The sequence below is a fragment of the Homo sapiens genome, chromosome 8 (assembly GCF_000001405.40).
Source record: "Homo sapiens chromosome 8, GRCh38.p14 Primary Assembly".
Lineage (NCBI taxonomy): Eukaryota > Metazoa > Chordata > Mammalia > Primates > Hominidae > Homo > Homo sapiens.
Window position 1 is genome coordinate 63,434,153 of NC_000008.11, and position 23,877 is coordinate 63,458,029.

Below are 23,877 nucleotides of genomic sequence, written 5' to 3' on the forward strand. Positions count from 1 at the left end.
AAATTGACAGTGAGGACCCACGTGACAGCAGAAAGACACCAAATGCAGTTTCAGACGCTGTAACTCTGCCCAGACCAGGTCATTTAAACCATGTCCCCCCATACACTCAAACACTGGTTTATAGGGGAGCAGAAGAGGGAAACAGAAATCTTTTAGCTTTACATGGGAAGAGTGAGCACTTACCCGAAGGAAGTTTTAAGTTATTGACTGTCCCCCTACCCCTGCATCACATACATTTCTCAACCGATAGGGCTTGTAAAAGAGATCCAGTAAATTTAAAGACATTTTAAAAAGCAGATCTGTGTCCACTTGAATTAAACATTTGGACTTGGGTTAAGTAGAATCCAAGTTGTATGAATGACAAGAGTGGAAGGGCAAAAGGAGATGATATGTGAGGAAAGACCCTCCTAATATTGTTTTGGCCAAATATGTCCTTAAGCAATGTTGAGCTTCCTGAGGCATTCTTGGGGGAAAATCTATAGGTGCTGCTGTAAGAGCCATCTTAAAAACAAGTTCTAGATTACGGGAAATAAAACCTAGTTGACTCCCATTGGTAGATAGTAATCTTTCTTATTCAGATGGAACCCTCTGTCTCACTGGAGATGAGGATTAGAAGGAGATAAGGCCTGGGATAGATGTTAGAACTGCTACCATGAGAATACAAAAAGAAGGCATTAATAGTTATTGATGGGAGAAGGGACGGTACTAACTGAAAAGAGACAATATCCTTTTGCCCTTTGAGCCAGTGCTCTGCTACTCACTGAGAAAGCTTTTGGGGCCAAGGGAGGCAGCTGAGACTGGGCTTCTTTAATACTTCGTACTGTTTTCCAAAGGAAAGATTAGGCAATGTAAAAGGTAATCTGATTCAGACTGAAGGCCGTGGTATAGCTTCTCCCAGCTTCATAAACGTTTCTACTAGACTCCCACATGATTCATTTAGAGGGTTCAAATGATCAAGAGGTTCTTTTCTCAATGAAACCTGTTCCCCTCTAAAATGGCTTTTCAGTGTTCACTAAAAATCCAGTCTTAGGAGACAGTCTTTGCATAGTGTGTGGGACAAAAATAATAATAATAATAAAAAGACCATGCAAACTGAATCTATGCAAAGCAATCTTAATAACTAATGAGAAAAATTACAATTGTCCTCAATTCTTAAAAATGTTAAAACACTAAAACTCTGTTACTGTAGGTTGGAAATATATAGCAAAATGAAAAAAAAGCTGGCTAAATTAATATTTACTTATAGCACCATAATTTAAAACATTAGAAACATTGATAATTGAATTCCATTATTTATTTGTAAAAAAAAAGTATCAAAAATAATTTGAACATGCTTGCCTTCTCATATAACTTAAAATGTAGAATGAATATCTTTTCTATTGCGTGGTGAATTGTCACACTCTTTCCAAAGTTTGGATTAGCTTCCAGCAGTTTATCTTTTGTGCTTTTAATGTGAAATATTTCTGAGATGTCCTTTAATGTGAAGATTTTTCCTGGCATCACTTCCTCTATGACATCTTCCTCTTTTCTTTTTTGTCACAAATGCTTTGCTTATTTATATTGGTAAGTTGTTCACCTTAGCTAAATTCCACTGGCTGCATATCTAGACTCTCTTGAATGGCTGCGGTGTCAATATTCCCAGTCAGCTATGTCTTCTGTGCTGTGCATGTTTGATTTAAATTTTACTTATATTGTTATCGCTTTTAGTTTCTTCATTGCACTTTCATCTTTGTTGGCCAATTCTTTCTTTTGAGTATCTATTTTCATGAAATGTGACATCGGTTTATTTCCAGCCGACCAGGAGGCAACACAACTACACACTGTGTGAACTGAACCTCAGATACCACTGGCCTGTCACCAACAGATTTTGAAGCAAATGATGTGATTGTTCACCGATTATCAGTGCATCTGTTATTTACATAGTGATTTGTGAACTGACAAGTTAGCAGCAGTTTCTGCTTTATGCAATTGTTCTGTTAATAGACTGTGATTGTGGTAAGTGAAATTTAAACTGTGTTGTTGGGAAACTGTTGTTATTTAACTAACCTGTGATAATTGAAATTCATGCATATTGGAACTGTGCAAAGTAAGAACAGCCTGCAAATAAAGCAATACTTTCTATACCTTCACCTTCTCAGAGGATTAGAACTTCAGGGTAACTCATTTTCTTTCTTTTTTTCTTAAATTGAGGTAAACTTTACATACAGTGAATGCACAGTTCTTTTTTTTATTTTTATTTTATTATTATTATACTTTAAGTTTTAGGGTACATGTGCACAACGTGCAGGTTTGTTACATATGTATACATAAATGCACAGTTCTTTAGAGTACAATTAGATACATATACTAATTATATTTATTGTGCGTAACTGTTACCTGAATTCCATTCATTTCTTGACTCCTTTTTTCCTGCATGAAGATTTTTCTTCTGGAGTCTGTACAAATCACCATGAGACACTCCAGTTTGGGTACTATGACATAAAAAGTCAATAGATTATCCCATGTGGGGTTTGATGAGTTTGGGGAGCCTTTTTATTTGGGCCAGATCACTCAACAACAGCTGCAGTGTTTGAGCCACCAAATCTTAAGAAGAAAAACTGTATTCTTATGATTAGATTTTTTGAAAATTGCCACTTCTTAAGATTCCTTTTAAAAATGTGGTTCATTGGGGTTTCAAAAATAAAGATCTAGATGAACTAGCTTTCCTGATAGGTTTTAATATTATCTCAATGTTAATAGCAATATTTTTATCCCCATGATTTCAAAACTTTTGTTTTAAGGGCAAAATAACAAAGGTAAACAAAGGTAAGCGAACCACCGCCATCCTGTTTATTCTCAGGACTTCTTGGTGTTTGGTCTCATAGGAAAATCCAAAAGCCTTTCCTGGAGAAGTTCCACTTGTTTTACATAGGCTACTGGATGTCTGGCTTGATACCAATAATCTGAACTGTTATTTATTGTGGGTTCTCCATGGTGGAGGTAATTATCTCTGGACATTGAAATGACCGGATTGGGGCGTGCTCCACGGACCACTCCTGGAACACATTGCAGAGGAGAGGATTGTGTCTCTGGAACTCTTCTCCTTTGTAAGTTGAATTAATCTGAATGAATAATTCTTCACTAGAAGAAACAGATCCTGCTGAATGAAAGCACATAATGGAGCCCTAGGGGTGATCTGAGAAACAACTATAATTATCTCTTCTCTGCTTACTGCCATACTTAGGAAGGAGTCTTTGGACTAGGCAGAAAGTGATCAATTTCCTCTCATATTACCCTCAACCTGCGGCCTATTTGTACTCCTGATTGGATAAAAGGGTTAAGAAGAACAAAATGGTTGGAGAGATTTTTGAATTTTTATGATAATTATTTGGTGTCCCAGGATCTACTGAATGTCTCAAGAGAGGAACTTTTTTCCACTTCACAAATTCTAATTTTTGACTTGATAAAGAATGATGGTAAGTGAAAAACTACATTGCTAAAATTACTGGTGCAACAAGAAAGAGGGAACTCAGGAGTTCCCACCTGAGTTCTTATCATATTTAAATTTTAAGAGTATTGTTTCTTCTAAAAATATCAAATAAAAGCTTGAGGTAAGACTTGTGTTGATGCTCAGAACTGGGAGTAAATGTACATCCTGGGGTTGTGTTTCTTATAGATGAATATGGTGAATGAGGTGCTAGAATAACTGTAGATTCTGGGGTTGTGTTTCTTATAGGTGAATATGGTGAGTGAGGTGCTGGAAACCCATATCCTGGTTAGCATTTCCCATAATTATCTTTATTATTGCTAATGTTGTTATAGTAATATATGCCCATGGAAAAATTTGAAACAGTGCAAAAAAGTATGAAATGAAAAATCTCCTATGATATTACTCAACTGTAGTCCCACTTTTTAGATATAACCACTTTTCACAGTTTCTGTTAATTCTTCTTGTTTAAATCTTATGTCTCTTTCTGTATTTAGCAACTTTAAACAACATCTGTTTACACCCCAGTATAAAAAGAAAACATTAACTTAATCCTGTCACCCTTATACCTTTCTCCCTACTCATAATTTTTAATAATTATACTACTCTTTATTCTTGTACATTTATAACTTTAAATATTATACTTAAATCCATTTCTTAATTAACTTCAGATAATTATCTTTTGATTTTGTCTATGTAAAGTGAGAAAAATTTCAATATTTTTATTTACAAATTTTCAAGTGCTTTAATGTTTTTATTCAATATTATAAATATAGTTAAGAATCCTATTTTGTCTTTAGGTTACTTTTAAACTCTGAGGACCTATTATTTAGTGAACAATCAAGCAGTAAGTTGTCACCCATAGAAAAGGAAATGTGTTCCTGTGGCTTCAACATTTTGTCATTTTCCTACTAGGTTCCCTTTTTTGTGTGTATGATACATTCAGCTGTCAGTGTTTTTGAGTCACTGACTTGAACACTGTTCAATTATCTCCTGTAGTGATTTTTTTTTTACATAAAATATATCTGTGAAAAAGTTTCAAAGTTTTTGCATGTCTAAAATGCATTTATTTTGTGGTCACATGTTATTAGTAGTTTAGTTACGTGAAGAGTTCTAGAGTCATATTGATTTCTCCCCCTTGGAACTTTGAAGACATTGCTCCATTGCTTTTCAACATGCACTATTTTGAATGAAATATGTAATAGCAATATGATTATTTGTTATTTTTGTTTTCTCTTTCTGGATGCTTCTAGAATTTTGTCTGTATCCTTGTTTTTATATTTTACTAGAATGTGTCTAGGTATAAGGCTTTTTCAATTATCTTTCTGATACCATTTATTCTAGTAATTTTCTTCAGCTCTAAAATATTTTCTTCGACTACATCTTTGATTATTACTTCCCTCCTATTTTTTTTCCTGTAGTTTCTTCTGTTTTAACTCATCTTATAAGACATTTCTCTATTTTTTTAAAATCTTTTTGTCTTTTTTGCTAAAAGGTTAGGAGAGTACCATAACTATTTATCCAACATTTCTATTGATTTTTTTCCAATCATATTTTTACTTTATAAAATCTTTTTTGTGTTCTTTTATTGATATAATTTTTGTTTTATAGATGGCAGTCTGGTTTTCTGGGTATCATAATTGTCATTAATCAATTTATCGAATTTAGATTTTTAAAAAAGTTGTCTTCCATTCCCCCAAATAATCTTGTTTTACTCAAAATTATTCATTCTTCTGATCTTTTCAGTTTTCTTTCACATTGTTGATACTTCTCAAATGCTGAGCAGCTTCTTATTAATTCATTTTAGAATTACTTATAAGGGTCTAGGTTGATTATTATAGGTAATTGATGTTGATTTCTTCTGCCATTATGCAGATCTTTTTCCTCAATGGGGGTCTGCTCCAAATGGAAAGTTGGTTTTGAGCTTTGTGAATCTGGTTAAGGCATGCCAATTGGCAAGCTTTGTTTCTGGCTTGGCAAGCACAGATGGCAGGCAGGTAATTCTGCTCTCTCCAGGTTTAAATGAGAGAGGCTTTACTGTGGTCTGTAATATTTATGCTAAGAAATGTTTTGTTCCTCTTATTTGGAGCACATTTATTTTTCTCTTTCATTTATTCTTTTTTTGGCCCTTCTATAGATATTTTCTCTTTTATTTCTCTTACTCACACCAAGTCCTGAGTTTTCCTGGGAATGATAGCTCTCACATCTCTGAGGAAAACACATGGATTAGGTAAACCTTCATTAAAGTACAACAAAGGAGGTTAATTTGATTTGAGGAGAACTGCTTGAACTTTGTAGTCTCCAAATGTTTTTCAGATTTTAATAATGTAAACAGTGGTTGTTTGCTTGGAATAGCTGATTGAAGAGCTCAAATTAAGTAAAATTCCTCTTGAAGACTTCTAGCTCTCTGGATTTTTAAATGGTTTGTTTGCAAACTACGGGCTCTGTATTTTTTCCATCTGGATGGGCTCATAGAATAATCAGTAGATTATTAATAGTTTTAAAAAAGTGATCTGCTTCATTCTATGTCATAGGCCCATTATTCAATCCTTAGCAAGGTATTCTCTATTTCACCAGATAAGTCCATTGATTAATCTGTTCAGTTTTTAAAAGTTTTTAAAAACTGTTCAGTTTTTAAAAGTTTTTAAAAACTGTTCAGTTTTTAAAATTATTCTACCTTGCCCTGCATTATAGGTCCATTGATTAACCAGGCATGTCTTCTGAACGCTATTAGTTTCCTTCCAAACTGATTTTAAATGTGTGCTTCTTGGGCCAATATTCTACATGATGAACATCTGGGCTTTAAGTTTTACTCATCTAATATTGACAATATTCACCCATGACTTTACATCATAACTTTGTGAATAAAAAAGTACTTAACATTTTTTGATATTTTATTGGCCTTTGATCCAGGGCAGTTCGCAGGTATTAACCAAGTCCAAAGTGGACAAAGTTTTTCTTAAAGGAGTATAGAATAAATATTTCAGTCTCACTGTCATAAAGTCTCTATTGCAGCCACTCAGATTGTACATTGGAACACAAAAGCAGCATGGATAACACATAAACAAATGGGTGTGGTTGTGTTTCAAAAAATCTTTATTTAGACATCTGGCCTGTGGACTGTAGTTTTTCAGCTTCTAGACTAAGCCATATAAAAGTGATATAAACTCCTCATTACTGAGATTCACAAAGAAACTGCATTCTAAAACCTCCCGACAAAATGAGATACTTGGTGCCTACCACTGGTTTGAGAATAGGCTCATTGAAAATATGCTAGTGCACAATAGGCATATATTTTCTTCTTTGTTCTCCTGATATCATAATGACTTGAAACTGCTTCTGAAGTAAATAGATTCATGCTATTCAGAATCGAAAGATAAATATTTTTCTTTACATCAATAACATGAGTTTTCTGTCTCAAGTTATAATTGATTTTGCTATCAAGCTGTCTTAAAAGATGAATGTACATCATTTCACTATTCTAGATCCCAAATGATCATTTTTGGTAAATACCTTCCAACATTTAATTGGCTTATATTCAATTATGTTTTCTCAAATTGTTCATTTTCATGAAGATGTATTTTCAGCCAATGTATTTTTAAGAGTTCTCTAAGAAATTACATTGTTCAAAGTTGGACACTGTGAAGGCTATGAGAGGTTCTATATTGTTTGAAATGTTTATAAGATATTGTGATTTAAGATAGGCTCTATGACACAGAATTCTTGGATCCTTATTGCCTACTTGTCTTTGCCTCAGGATAAAACCAGAACTGTTTCCTTAGGAAGCTGTGGCTTACCCTCTCAGGTACTACCTTTATGCATCTCTGTTCAGAGATAGATAGTCTGATATTCAGGAACATATCTTGATGGAATTCATTTATTTTCCTGGGGTATGAAAGGATTGAAGGATGAAATCCTATTGTTCACTTAGTTGATCACTAACGCATATAGGTCCTGCCCTTCCTCAATGTTAGATAATTTGAAATTGAGTTTTCTGCTTTGAAATTCGGATAGCTCAAATGTGGAAAAATACAATTTATGGACTATTTCTGAATTGACATTAATATATTCTTTTTATGTAAAATTTTTTTTCACCCTGTCTTATGGTGCAGAATATATTCTTTTCTTTAAAAAAACTGTCAGAGGCCTGGTGTTCCACAGGGACTGCCATGGTAGACAGAGGGTAAGTGGTGTGACAGGTCTGTTGATGAGTGGGTTCTCCGGACTCCCCAGTCAGGAGTCAAACAGATCAGCTCCACACACAGTTTCATACGGATAAAAATGTCTACTGCTAAAAAGTTTGAGAACCATTGACCTAAAGACAGTCTAATTCTGGGCTCTTAGCTGTCAGAGAGCTGTGTAATAAGACCACAGTCTTTCAGTCTTTCATGTAACTGCTCTTACAAAATTGTGTCTTGGTGTCATTACTTTGGCTTTTTGTTGAGCTTCATTACAAGAAACAGTTAAAAGAAGCTCACTATTCCATTCTTGGTAAGTCTATCACTGAGGACCTTGCCTTCCATGATGCATACAATATCCCTCTATGAAGATCTATTAAAGATTTTCCCTCTTGAACCAGGACACTGGGGCCCTTCTATTCAATTGATTTTATTTAATTTCATGGATATTATGCAATTCACAACTATTAATTAATTAGCCATTAGGAATGTCCTGAATTTGGACCTCTCCTTTGGAAACTAATTACATGCAGTTTTGCACAGTTGGTTTACACATAATTTTGTCTAAATTTCTTTCATTTATTAATTGTATGCCTCCATGCCTCTGTTTACTTTTATATGTATGGTTGTGTGTATTTCTTTGAATTTATTTAAATCCGTTTGTATGAAATGAGTCAGTCACACAGGATTCTCTGTTACAAGGGATAGAAAATTCAATCCAAGGTGGCTTAAAAAAAAGGAGAGCTTATTCTGTTATATAACAACAGCAGAAATTTAGGGATAGGCCTGGCCTCAAATATTGCCTGACGAACGGTTCATGCAAATGTCACAAGGATCAGATTTCTCTCAAGCTTTCAGTGCAGTCTTCTGCTGCATTGGTTTTATTCTCAGACAAATTATCCCCCTATATGACAATAATAAGATGTCTATAAGAGCTCCAGTTTGGATGGTCCACCTTCCTAAAAATGTCTGCTAATATCCTAGAATTAAGTCCGATTTGGTATGATTCAATGGATTTTGGTAATGTGTCCATTTCTGACCAATACTTGAGGTCCGCAAGTAGAACGTGGTGTTTCTAGTCCTAGGTCACATTGTAGACCCTGGCCATGGTGTCAGCAGCCTACGAGGAGGCACAGATGGGGGATTTTCCCAAATCCAAAGCAGAATATGTTTTACACAAGAAAAGAAGTAATTGTAGGAGCAAAACAAAGAAAAAGCTGTCCATTTGTTGGGATATAATTAAAAATGTAATGATAGTGAGTTATTTTTCAGCACTCTAAAAAACAAAAGCATTGAATTATTCTCCATGGTCTCTGGAATGGTAATTTGTATGGGATAACCATAAAATAATGGAAATGGCTTTTTAACAGACATGAAAGAATTTATATATTCAAGTGAGAATAGCATTTCAAGGTCATTACCTTGGGGATCTATACACATAATGATAATAACTACCACTAATTGAATGTCTGCTCTTCCAGGAATTTTAGGAATGTAGCTAAGAGAAAATAACGTTACTTTAAATGCTGACCACCAAATTCTTCTCAGAAACAGTCTCTATGGGCACAAGAATGTCCTTGTGAGTGAAAATAAGGGGTAATTAAACTGATTTTTGAAAAAAATACAACAAAAATTTTGGTGTTTGGGAGCAGAGGGGGAGATATGAGGAAAATGTTGGGTATGAGAGGAAGCCATTTTATTTATTTATTTATTTCTAGTATTATGATACTTTAAGTTCTAGGGTACATGTGCACAATGTGCAGGTTTGTTACATATGTATACATGTGCTATGTTGGTGTGCTGCACCCATTAACTCATCATTTACATTAGGTATATCTCCTAATGTTTTCCCTCCCCCCCCCCACCCCATGACAGGCCCCCGTGTGTGATGTTCCCCTTCCTTTGTCCAAGTGTTCTCTTTGTTCAATTCCCACCTATGAGTGAGAACATGCGGTGTTTGGTTTTTTGTTCTTGTGATAGTTTTCTGAGAATGATGGTTTCCAGCTTCATTCATGTCCCTACAAAGGACATGAACTCATCATTTTTTATGGCTGCATGGTGTTCCATAGTGTATATGTGCCACATTTTCTTAATCCAGTCTATGATTGATGGACATTTGGGTTGGTTCCAAGTCTTTGCTATTATGAATAGTGCTGCAATAAACATACGTGTGCATGTGCCTTTATAGCAGCATGATTTATAATCCTTTTGGTATATACCCAGTAATGGGATGGCTGGGTCAAATGGTATTTCTAGTTCTAGATCCTTGAGGAATTGTCACACTGTCTTCCACAATGGTTGAACTAGTTTGCAGACCCACCAACAGTGTAAAAGCACACCTATTTCTCCACATCCTCCCCAGCACCTGTTGTTTCCTGACTTTTTAATGATCACCATTCTAACTGGTGTGAGATGGTATCTCACTGTGGTTTTGATTTGCATTTCTCTGATGGCCAGTGATGATGAGCATTTTTTCATGTGTCTGTTGGCTGCATAAATGTCTACTTTTGAGAAGTGTCTGTTCATATCCTTTGCCCACTTTTTGATGGGGTTGTTTGTCTTTTTCTTGTTAATTTGTCTGAGTTCTTTGTAGATTCTGGATATTAGCCCTTTGTCAGATGAGTAGATTGCAAAAATTTTCTCCCATTCTGTAGGTTGCCTGTTCACTCTGATGGTAGTTTCTTTTGCTGTGCAGAAGCTCTTTAGTTTAATTAGATCCCATTTGTCAATTTTGGCTTTTGTTGCCATTGCTTTTGGTGTTTTAGACATGAAGTCCTTGCCCATGCCTATGTCCTGAATGGTATTGCCTAGGTTTTCTTCTAGGATTTTTATGGTTTTAGGTCTAACATTTAAGTCTTTAATCCATCTTGAATTAACTTTTGTACAAGGTGTAAGGAAGGGATCCAGTTTCAGCTTTCCACATATGGCTAGCCAGTTTTCCCAGCACCTTTTATTAAATAGGGAATCGTTTCCCCATTTCTTGTTTTTGTCAGGTTTGTCAAAGATCAGATGGTTGTAGATGTGTGGTATTATTTCTGAGGGCTCTGTTCTGTTCCATTGGTCTATATCTCTGTTTTGGTACCACTACCATGCTGTTTTTGTTACTATGTCCTTGTAGTATAATTTGAAGTCAGGTAGCATGATGCCTCCAGGTTTGTTCTTTTAGCTTAGGATTGACTTGGCGATGCGGGCTCTTTTTTGGTTCCATATGAACTTTAAAGTAGTTTTTTCCAATTCTGTGAAGAAAGTCATTGGTAGCTTGATGGGGATGACATTGAATCTATAAATTACCTTGGGCAGTATGGCCATTTTCACGATATTCATTCTTCCTATCCATGAGCATGGAATGTTCTTCCATTTGTTTGTATCCTCTTTTATTCCGTTGAGCAGTGGTTTGTAGTTCTCCTTGAAGAGGTCCTTCACATCCCTTGTAAGTTGGATTCCTAGGTATTTTATTCTCTTTGAAGCAATTGTGAATTGGAGTTCACTCATGATTTGGCTCTCTGTTTGTCTGTTATTGGTGTATAAGAATGCTTGTGATTTTTGCACATTGATTTTATATCCTGAGACTGCTGAGGCTGCTTATCAGCTTAAGGAGGTTTTGGGCTGAGATGATGGGGTTTTCTAAATATGCAATCATGTCCTCTGCAAAGAGAGACAATTTGACTTCCTCTTTTCTAATTGAATACCCTTTATTTCTTTCTCCTGCCTGATAGCCCTGGCCACAACTTCCAACACTATGTTGAATAGGAGTGGTGAGAAAGGGCATCCCTGTCTTGTGCCAGTTTTCAAAGGGAATGCTTCCAGTTTTTGCCCATTCAGTATGATATTGGCTGTGGGTTTGTCATAAATAGCTCTTATTATTTTGAGATAACGTCCTATCAATACCTAATTTATTGAGAGTTTTTAGCATGAAGGGCTGTTGAATTTTGTCAAAGGCCTTTTCTGCATCTATCGAGATAATCATGTGGTTTTTGTCTTTGTTTCTGTTTATATGCTGGATTACATTTATTGGTTTGCGTACGTTGAACCAGCCTTGCATCCCAGGGATGAAGCCCACTTAATCATGGTGGATATACTTTTTGATGTGCTGCTGGATTTGGTTTGCCAGTACTTTATTGAGGATTTTTGCATCGATGTTCATCAGGGATATTGTTCTAAAATTCTCTTTTTTTGTTGTGTCTCTGCCATGTTTTGGTATGAGAGGAAGCCATTTTAGCAGGAAAGTTGGTTGGGAGCAGACAACAGCCCTCAATATTTTGAATATTTACTTTAAAGTCTGTTAATATTCTGTTACTGTCTACTAGGCATAAAGGCTTGAGTGAGTGGTGGTGCTTTGGGGAAATCAGACAAAAAAGGGGCTGTGCTTCCTGTGGGGTGGCACAGTTAGAGAAAAGAGGAAGACACAAGAGGCAGGATGTGAAAGAGATCAAAGATTTAGTAGAAATAGTAATTTAGAAGAAGAGATGACCATGGAAGTGGGACTCAATAGAGCCTTTGGGACTGAACTTTCCAGAGGTTGCAGCATGAAAAGGAAAAGATGATCTCTGCTGACAATTAGATTAGAAATATGGCACTACAAATTTCCCCAGCAATCCTGTATTAGTATCCATATTTGCTGATGTACAAACTCAGATTCTGAGAGATCAAGTGACTTGCCCAAGGTCATACAGCTTATAAACTGGCACAGCTAGAAGTTAATTCCAGGTCTGATTCTAAAGCACATGCTCTTCCACTATATTTGCCCATATTTCATCTTTATTCAAAACTGTTTTGCGTGCTCATCATTTACATTTGAGTGGAGTTATTTGATGTTTATAATAAAATATATAACTGCCACTGAACTGAAACACTTATATTTGCATGCTCTTCCAAAAGGAAGGTCAACATGGAATGCCAATTAAAATCAAATAAATACTTGTTGAACATCAAATTGTTATAAGAGAAATTAGTTAAGGCAAATATTCATTCAGACCACATTAAGATAGCCTTAAGGTTGTTAAGAAAGATAATTTTCAGGAAAAAGTTGTAATCCTGACTCGTACAGATATAAATATTTAAAAATGAACATGTTACAGAATTTATTTTACTCATTCAATGAAGTAACATGGCCAATGTTATAACTGGTTGAAATGAAAAGTAAAAAAGCACAAATGTATTTGGAATAAAGGAATTGAACTGCAAGTGGAGGCAAAACTAGTTTTTCTACAGCAGAGAAAGGAAACCAATGAAAACTCTGCTGGACAAGACATAATTTATGCACTTATCAACTTAGAGAGAGTTGTAAAATAGCTTGAAGAAAATGAATGGCTAGACTCTGATATCCTAGAAGGACGTGCTATATATAGATCCACATAGTGTTCCATTTAAAAACAATTTTTTTAACTTGTTTTACTGAAATAGACCAGAAATACTTAAAGCTTTGGCTAAAGTGTCCTCTCTTTTAGGAGGAGCATGTTGAAATATGTTTGGGGCACAAGTTGGGGCAGGTCTACTCTTTGTCTGTCCCATATCTGTGCTTTTTCATGGCTGACAAATCCTCCTTTCATATGCACATTATTTATTAAAAATATGAATATATTAAGTCTGATTTTAATGAAGTCTTGAAGGCCTTGTGAGTCATTGTGTTCCATATGGCTCTATAATTTTGGCCCAGTAAATATCCTTCGACATCCCCTAATCTATTAATATTTGGTACTGGATTTGAATGGCAAGAGCTCAGACAGTGAGGTCAGATGACTTCATCTGAATCTTTTATACTGAATTTTTAGATAGTGAGTAATGAGAATTTGGAGAGATGGGGGATACCAATCCTAAATAAAAAATGTTTATCTAGATTTATTCATATAATGCAAGTTTGGAAACAAAGAGCTAACATGTTGACCTTACAGTTTAGTGTCAGAGAATGATGAGAACTATCATATGTACTTTATTTCCAAACTTTTGTACCTTTTAAGGAGTATCTATAGGAGTTTTGGTTGATGGTATGTAATGAATGGCATGAATAAGAATAGGAATGATTTCTGAGAGTCATTGCTGGAGGAAGTTATGGGGTTTGAGATAAAGAAAGGTGGAATGACTACAAAGGCTGATGCAATATTCAGCATACTTTCTGACATGGTCCCTATAAACAAGGTACTGAAAGGGCATCAACAGAAGCTGATAAGCCTGCCACACAAAAGAGAAGAATGTGTGAAAATAATATATGGAGGATACTGAGACCTGAGTTCTCAGGGACACTGGTGAAGTATAGGCATGAGCCCTGCATACCATGGTGTAAAAGCACTGGAGTAATAGTGGTAGGTCAAGATGTACCAGATAGATTAGATTAGGTGAGCCTTTGGAAATGAAGTCAAGAGAACTGAGTTGATCTCATGAATTTGGGGATTTAAGACCATGAGTTACATTACATCATAGGAACGCTCTTCAGTTTATGCATGGTGAAAGGTTGGATCCTTGGACTCTGAGAGTTCCAGAGTCCTCATTTGAAGGAATAAGGCCTTTGATGTGCAAGAGTCATGGCAAGGAATCTGGGTCCTGTGACCCATGTGACATTGGTATGGCCTGACTTGCAGGACACAGGGTATGAGGGAGACTTAAGTTCTCCTGGGCTTTGAGGAGAACAAGACTTTTGGCAAGGTGAGATTAATTTCATTAAATGTAACGCCAATTTTTAAAAACAAAATTCCATTCTTAAAGGTTGAGGATTTGCCACTGTCAAGGATGCATATGCAGAGTATATTAGAGCATATCACAATAAGGACATGACCTTACAAGTTGACTGCTTTGAAGTACCTAAAAATCTTATGTACAGATTTGTAAAATTCAGTCACATTAATATTTTATATCTCTTTGTGCATTATAATTTTTTCTGCATAGTATATTGTGGTCTATTGATGATCTGAAGTAAAAATTAAATTAATGCATCATTTCAAGATTTATTTGTTGTAAAATCCTCTTTTGTCAAAAGATACCTTTGTATAAAGAGCACTTATCTTAATGTAGTTTTAAAAGATATTATAACCAAAAGGAAACCCTTCCTCAAATTCCTTTTATCACTTTAAAATAAAGCTTTAATCAAAAGACATTGACCTGCTCTTGTAAAAACTGCCTTGGAGAATCAGGGTATCTGATTCATAGAATTGACTATAATAGCTTCTCCAATGCCATTGTACCCTGTCAGGCATGTACTTCTCCAGGGACTTCTGAGAATACACATGACAGATTACGATTGTTCAAATATGTGCTTAGTAAATTTCTCCGATGTCTTTGTCAGATTGGAAATAGTGTGTACCCTGACATTACGTCCTGTGTAATATGTTATCAATTTCCTATGGTAATTTATCATGACATAGTCTTGGGTATATTCATGGTCTTCTGTGCCAGTGAGTTTCCAAACCTGGTATGGTGAACAACAATACTTTACGTAGTCTTTTTGCAGATTCATTTTGTACAGTAAAATAATTTTTTGATCTTTTTCAATTAAATTCAGTATATTAACTTTACATTTCTTATTCTTCTTTAATAAAAAGCCTTGAAGCATTAGTTCAGCAGCTTGGTGTCATGAAGGACTCAAAGTTGTTTGATCTTTTGTCTTTTTGATCTATTCTTATCATTGGCATAGCACTAGCCATCACATTCTTATACCAGTATTCCAAGCTGTGAGAAAAGTGTAGGAGTATGATCTTTTCTCCTTATGAGATGCTATCATTTTATTCAGGGATGGAAGTCCCACACTGACTTTCCTGTAAAGTTCATTGGCCAGAACTGGGTCAAGTGCCTACTCCTAAGCCATTGACTGGTGTAGACCATCATAGAATGGAGGAGTGGCCATTTTTTTGGGGTAAGATTATAATCTCTTCTAGATTCTATAATACACTAGAATACAAAATTCAGAACTCTCCTAGCAGGAAATAGATGGGAAAGGTGACAAGGTTTGTCGGATGTGTAATGGATAATGTTTGCTATCACGCTGATGTAGATGTGTGATGAGGGGGTCCAGGGGAAAATAAGGCTGTAGGAAGATGTGTTGTACAGGTAGTGCACATTGTAGAAGGATAACTTAGAGGCAATGAGTCAAATTAGAGGGAGAACTTAGGTATAAGGGCAAAGTTATGAGTGTCCATATTAGGTCATGGTGGTGGGAATCAAGAAAAAGGAAGCAATACAATATTTTAGGGAGAGATTCTCTGCATAGGAGAAAAAGAGTAAATATATATGGAAAAGACAAGCCAACCAATACATGATGTTTAGGAAAAATTTGAACACCTAATTGTCTACCAAGAAAAGTTGACTTTAGGTGGGAGAAATCTGGGAATATGTGGTCCCTTAATATAGTGGGATTTCAGTGGGTCTGAGAAGGGGTTTAGAGAAAAGCAAAACAAAGTAATTCCAGCATTAAGGTTATGTTCCTTGGAATATATATATATATATATATATATGTATATATATATATATATATATACATATATATATAACCTTTTATGCCTATTTTAAAATAAAAACACTTTTTAAAGGGGAGAATACTGGAAGAATGAACAACTTGTGATGACTGGAAATCAGAAAAGTCAAGGAGGAATTGGAAGGAGCCCAAGCAGGAGGTAGGGAGAGCTTTCCAGCTTAGCTGAGGGAACCCCATGTTCAGACCTATTCTTTCCTTCTGATATCCCATTTATGTGGCTCAACTGCCTGTATTCAGCAAATTCACCAAATAATTTGCAGCTCTCCACTTACATAATAGAAATACAACTCAAGGAGAAGATGCTTGGACAGTTTAATAATAATAATAAAATCTTGATGAGAACAGGTATTTTTTAAAGATAGAAAAAAGAACCCCAAACCTCTGACTTTGTAATTGGGTTTAGCTAAATGAGACTGGAACCTCAGGAGAAAATTAGAGACAAGCCGGGGATAAAATCAAAAACAGCATTTGTGATAAATCTGGTAAACAGCCTCTCTGCATCATTGGGAGGAAAATACACACTAAAAAACCTGTTATGGTTTTAGACATTTTTTAGAAGGTTATTTTAATTTAATTAATGAAAAATCATAGGTTAATTGCCTCCAGCTTTAATGTGAGGGTATTATGCATGCAGGCATATTTTATTTATATCTCGACTGTTTGATGTACACAATCAATTCAAAAAGGGATAATGAAGAGGTGTTCTGTCCTGTGTAGAATAATAATTAGGGACTCTAGTACAGAATATTTTTTATTAATTGTGCAGCTCAGTAAACATGTTTGACATAATGCTGAGAAATACATTTGTCAAATTTCACCAATATTTTTTCCTGCTCTTTCCTTTTGCTGTTTCTAGCTTTTTTCAGAATTGTTTTCATACTGACCCCTTTTTGCCTAGCTAGGAGACCTCCAAAGCCCTAACAATTTGATTTAGAGACTTAGGGTCACCTGCTAAGTTAGTTGCATTATGAAATTCAGGAAATCATATTGGACATCTGGCTGCTCTTCTCAACAAGATTCACCTACATTGTTAGGGAAATGGGAATCTGATTTTTTTTTTCATAGATGGGTAGAGACCACATCAGTCTATAATGCAGAATAAATTATGTTAGTGAAATCTCTATGGGCTTTTGATTATTATATAATTTATTGATGTTTTCCACACATCATCCCTGGCTTTTAGAAATGTTATTTTCTTTTCTAAGGATTTGGATATGATATATCAAGTCTTTTCCTCCCTGTGAAATACAATCATGGATTCCTCGTCATCCAAAGTACAAACTATGTATCAAGAATTGCTGAATAAGTTTTACTTTATAACTATTCTGTATTGCTTTGGGCATCAACCACTTTAACAGAACATTTTGTTCAATCTTGGGAAGAGATTGCATATTGATTGAAAAAGTACACCATTGTTTTTGCGGGCAATAAGCATGTCTAAAAATTTCTAGAATGTTCTTTCTTATCAATCTGTATAGCCAGGATCAAATTTCAAGGACTTGGGATATAGTGCCAAAAATATGCATATCTTGGCTCCTTTCCTGCTTTGACACTTGCCTCTTCTGGAAAACATTTTTTACTTTTCTATTTACCCCCAAATCCATCACCTCACTCAAGTCTTTCCCTGTAGTTAATTTTTCTACATTTTTTTCTCTCTAAGCTTTCCATACGGGTATCTCAGCAGGTATAGTATATCTTGTTAAAGCCAATTGTTTGTAATTGCCACATGATGTAGAACTTCTGTTGGGCCACCAATGCCCAGCAATGATTCTTTGGCTTCAAGTAAGTCATACATGTGAGATTTATAGAGAACCATATTGTTCCAAAAATCAAATGTGAATTTCACAGCTCTTTCTCTTAATGTCCAGTTCAAATGGAGCCGAGATGAAAGTGACTGTAGTAATCACATTCAAATGTTGTCACCATCTGGTGCCTGTTTGGTGGCCTATGTTATACGAGCAGGTGGTCCTTGTGTATCCTTGAGTGGCCAGCTGTCCACATCACAAAAGCCACTGTCACATTCAGTGTTAATTGGCATCTTGGTTGTAACGATCTGTGAGAAGCCAAGGCTGAATAGATCTCAGTATGTTATTCTTCTTTGTCCTGAGAACTCTGGGTCAAGGCTGACAAACATTTTCCCTCTGTCTTCTTGGCCTTATTTCCTATATGAAAATCTAAAAGGGTCTAGTATAAGCACTATCTATTAAATCAATCTACAGAAAAGCAAATACACATTTTATTAAGCTAGTGATTCTCAATCAATGCAAGAGATCCACAAAGGAATCTTCCTCAAGGAGATTTCATCTTCAGGATGTTTCTTCTTCAAGAAACTTCATAGAATTTAGAAAAGTTTGGTTGCCCATTTTGATTGCTTTAAAGATGATGTATCTATTGTTAACCTTAAATTTAGTAAAAGTAGCCTTTATAGGTTTATTTATTTATTTTGCCAAGACTGATCTATAGTTAATGGCTACCAGGAAAATCATGTTGGAAAACAGTCTTATCCTCTATTGCACCATAGAAAATTGCTGATACTTTGACCTACAGAACTAGCAGTTCAATATGGTTCAACTTAATACTTTTGCTTTTCATAGTTTTTAGGTTTTTCAGGAAATATTTATTTTTAAGTGAAATATTTCTACATCATAAATTCTTGGCTACGGGTCTGGTGTTGAAAGTCAGCTTATCCAGAGAGTCATGGGGGATGACTGCTCCATTGCATTTAGGCTGGTCGTCAGGTACTTTCCATGCATGTTCTAAAGTGTTCATGTCTTCTGAGTTCAAGTTACTTGCAAAGAATAAAGATTTTTTTCTCGTATGATTTTTAGTTATAATAATAGGCACTACTCAATATCATACACATACACAAAAATGTTGACATTTAGAGCCAACTTTCAAAAGCAAGCATTAATCTTTTTATCTTATGCCCATCACATAGGGAGAAAGAAAACATACCCAAGAAGTTAAATAATGCTCCAGATGACGTGGAAAAATCTTGTCTTTCATAGTCAATAAATTGGTTTGAAATGTTTGCATCAAAATCACCTGCAGGTTAACTCTATCATCACATATCTCTTCATGAAGGCTTCTATGGGCATTCCAGCCCTTGTTTCTCTTTTTTCTTTCTTCATCTTTCTCTAAGTGCCATACAAGGTACTTCTGACAATGAACTGTTCTAAATATTTTTTTTTGTTTCATCTGTACATTTCTTATATCTCTATTTATACTACTAGATACTTGGAGTGAGGTGTATATTTCAATTATTTTGATTTGTCTGAGAATCTAGCACTGTGCTTGGTAAGTTGGAGGAAGCCATAAACACTACACACTCAGTAAACATTCACTAAGCAGAAGCAAAAGATGGGACGGTGAGCTCTGAAAACAAATTAAGTTTTCTAGGTCTGGTTTTAAAATGGAAATGAACAAAATAAGCCATTTGTACATTAAATGTCTTCAAGATACTGATCTCTTCATAAAAAGGTTAGGGTTTGGTGTAAATTGAACCATTACCAAGAAAGTAAAACTTAGATTGTCCATCTTTATGCATTCCATTAATTCTAAAAATTTCATAGTTCTGAATCAGAACTAACTGCATTAACAAATTATGTATGCTGAATTAGTCACATTACTCAAGTCCTGTTTTTTTTTTTCTCTGCAGAATATTTGTCACACAGATATTTAAATGGAATCAGGGCTGTATATAACCATGACATAATACTTTGTCAAAAAGTGAAAAGTTAATCTGGTTGGTGAGTAATCATATACCTTCTTCCCTACCTCATCTAACAGCGTCTCAAGAAGTAGACTCTAAAATAATAGATCATTATAAAGGAAATAGAATCAGAGTACATTAGTAAAATATTGTAAAACCTTAATCATTAGTCTATGCATGATATTTTAACTTCTTTGACAATGAAGCATTCTTTATTATAAAAAAGTGGTTCTATTTCATGTCTGCCAAATAATACCAGAAATAAAAATAAAGTATAAGATTTCAATATGAAACAGAATGAATCACAACTGGCATGAGTTAAATAACTAAATTAAGATCAAGTTCCAAATTGCCTTATTTGAATCATCATTATAGAGAACTCCTCAAAAAGACAGATTGCTACTCTAGTGGCATGCAAAGAAGAGCACAGAATATGGTATTTTGGCTTTTTATATTCTTTTCTTCAAGAAGCTCAACCCCTTGTTAGACTGAGCAATGTCTTCTTGCAGTAGCCAGAGGGATGCATTGGCCAAGAGCTTTCCCTCTAGTCAAAAGACCCACCAGGTGGCAGGGATACAACCCAGGACAGCAGCAAAGAAAAGCTGAAGAAAATAATTATGTTAGCAGGCAGTGGTACAGATTGCAGCAGAAAATAGAAGAGTCTGGGAAGGGAGAGACTGGAAAAATATGATGATATATTAGAAGAAAAATAAGAGTATTGGGGAAATTCTGAGTTCTTAAAATTACTAAATGGTTAATGGAAGAAAGACAAGAAATTAATTAGGAACTTCAGGAAAAACAAAAAGCTGCATAAGAAATAAAATTTAATCATATACTATTTGGCTATAGTCAACAATAATTTTATGGTCATAGTTATGTAACACTGCCTTAAATGTTTGTATTAGTCAGTTTTCACACTGCTGATAAAGATATACCTGAGGCTGGGTAATTTATAAAGAAAAAAAGGTTTAATGGACTCAGTTCCATGTGGCTGAAGAGGCCTCACAATCATGGTGGAAGGTGAAAGGCATATCTTACATGGTGGTAGGCAAAAAGGGAAGGAGAGCCAAGCAAAAGGGGTTTCCTTTTAAAAGCCATCATGAGATTTATGCACTACCAGGAGAACAGTATGGAGGAATTTCCCCCATGATTCAATTATCTCTCACTGGGCCCCTCCCACAACATGTGAGAATTATGGGAGCTACAATTCAAGATGAGATTTGGGTGGGGACACAGTCAAATCATATCAACGTTCAACTTTTAAGATAAACCTTTTAGGGTGAAATGTGGGCTGCATATTTATGATTGAGAACAGAATGTAAATGTCATACGCTTGTCAATGTAAAATACAGATGACAATATTTGGAGGACCAAAGGTGGAGAGTGAGCTACAAGGAAGGGCAAGAGCAAGAACATTCTCATCATACAGAGTGGGGAGTCAAGAGATAATGCGTCAATTGATGGGATTAAAAAATAACAATGAAAACATATTGTTCACCATTATAAGTGTAACAAATGGAAAACCTAAAATGAATACTGATATAACTATTTTAAGTGGATGGTGGGAGGAGGTGAGGAATGGTGTGAGCTAAATCTTCATCCATCACAGCAGAGAGTATATGATTAATGTATAAATTCCCGAATCTATAACTAGGTGCATAAGCCTAGTTATAGACTTGTCAGCATAGACATAATCATGGGAAGAAAATATTAAAAATGGCTTCCTCTGTGGATCTATCCTAAATAGAGGTTGGTAGATAGGCTACTGTTTCTTTTCAGTGTAAGTTCTTCCATATGAGGTGATTTAAAAATCCTGTTTACGTATAGTTTTAGTAAATATTTTTCACAACATTGTTGAAAAAATAAAAAATTCTCATTTAATAAGTATATGGCCATTGTATGCTTATTAGCTTCTGTGTGTAGATATAAATTATTGCAAACTGGCCAGGGTCAGTTCAGCACCATGTTTTTCCTGGCAAAGCTTTCTGTAGATTCAGACCTGCATTAATCCTTCTTCCCTTTTGTCCTACTTCAACAGGTCATCAGTTTCAGAAGGGAGGATTTTAAATGGCTTAAAAATAATGTAGTCACATGACTTAAATTCAAAAGGTACAAAAGGAAATACAGTGAAATATGCCTACTATTCATGGTTCCCATCTATTCAATATTAAATTTCTTGTTATTTTTACAAAGCTTTCCAGAGTTATTTTATGTATACAGAAGTTAATACACACACACACACACACACACACACACACACACATTTCTGAAAACCTGTTGGATTGCAAGTTTTTGGATAGTTGGAGCTTATATTATTTTTCAAGTAAAAATAATATATTCCCAGGCAATCAAAAACTACAGCTCGTTTGTCCAATTGTTGTATATCAAGGATAGCTGCATGAACAACCTAAATATTCAACACTTAGTGAACTCATCATGAGTTCATTACGTTCATTACGTGCAGTACACAGTGACAACAAAGTTTGTGCTTCAAAATGTGTTCTGCATATCAGAAGCATTGAAATCACCCGAGAGCTTGTCAGAAAATGCAGAATCTCAGACCCAAATTCAAACCTACTCAATCAGAATCTGCATTTTGCTGAGATCCCCTGCTGCTTTGTAGGCACATTAAAGTTAGAGAAGCACTACTCTACAGGGGCAGTTATAAATTATACTTTCTTTTTATGAACTCACCTCTCTCAATATGCTTTATCACTTCAAACTTTTCTTCATATGTATAAACATTTCTATATCTTTTAGGCTTACATATTTTCTTTTCTGCTTTTAGAAGGTATTTTTACCTGGCATATGGAGAAGATGATGACAATAATGTGGAACTTGATTAGACATCAACAGAGACTCAATGCCTCCTGGAAAACACCTGAGAAATGATTGAAGCTCGCTCTGGTCTTGCCTGGAATCATGCATAACATTTGTTGCTGCCTGCATGTGGATTCATTTTAGCAGTTTATCAATTTGGACAGGGAATTTTGAATAAAAAATTTTGGCAGTCATTATAGTGACTCTTCTGAGACTGAAAATTCAGGTAACAAGGAAAATCAGTGACTCTTTCTCTCTGCTTTCTTCAAAACACAAATAATCCAATGATGTATAGGCTGCATTGCCCTTTGATTTGTTACCTTAGAGATCATTACATGTTAGTACATAAAGAAACTTCCCAATCTTCTTTTATAGCATCCAGGTACTCCAATGTGTAATTCAGCCATAACTTAATAAAATGGACTCTGTTTGATAAACATTTGGATTATTTCAAATATTTTACTATTATAAAGAATGTTGAATGAATACCTTTGTACATTTATATTTTCATATGTGTGAAAGTTTGTCTAAGAAGAGAAGCTATCAGGTTGAATGACATTCCATTTGTAATTTTGACAGCAACTGCTAAATTGTCTACCACAGATATTTAATTTGCCCTCCACATGAAAGGGACCTGGTTCCCCCATACCTTTTTCAACAAAAGTGTGTTGCCAAACTTTGGAATTTGTACCATCTGAACTGTGAAAAGATATTTCAGTGTTATTTTAATTTACTTTTTTGTTATGAAAAATGTATCCTTTCATATGTTTACAAACCATTTGCTATTCTTGTCCTGTGAACTGTCTATTCTAATTCTTTGCTCATTTTTTATTGGGTTATTGGCTTTTTTTATTATTAATTTTTCTTTTTATAGATTTGGACTTAAAATCCATTTTATCTAGTATAAGTATAGCTATCCCTGTTCTCTTTTGGTCTTCATCTGCATGAAATATTTTTTTCTATTCATTCATGTTCAGTCCATGTGTGTCCTTATGAGTGAATTGAGTATCTTTTAGACAGTATATAGTTGGGATTTAAAAAAAAATTCACTTAGCAACTCTATCTAATTTAATTACAGAATTTAATGCATTTACAGTCAAGGTAATTATGGATAGGAGATGACTTACTATTGCCATTTTCTTACTTGTTTTCTATTTGTTTTAGAGATCATTGTTTTTCCTTTCTTCTTCTCTTACTCTTTTTCTTTTGTGGTTCAGTGATTTTTTTTCTAGTAGTATAT

General features: G+C 35.0%; 1 long non-coding RNA gene across 5 annotated transcripts; it reads left to right on the top strand.

Moving 5' to 3' along the window:
• Positions 1 to 1,609: 1,609 nt before the first annotated feature.
• On the top strand, positions 1,610 to 23,074 carry LOC105375874 (uncharacterized). Of its 5 annotated transcripts, none has more exons than XR_928976.3 (5): positions 1,610 to 1,995; positions 3,224 to 3,455; positions 19,764 to 19,854; positions 21,856 to 21,926; positions 22,606 to 23,074. It is a non-coding gene; the product is annotated as an uncharacterized LOC105375874 (long non-coding RNA). The 5 variants fall into 5 exon arrangements; XR_928979.3 differs by lacking the exon at positions 1,610 to 1,995 and adding an exon at positions 3,027 to 3,086; XR_928977.3 differs by lacking the exon at positions 3,224 to 3,455.
• Positions 23,075 to 23,877: the final 803 nt, after the last annotated feature.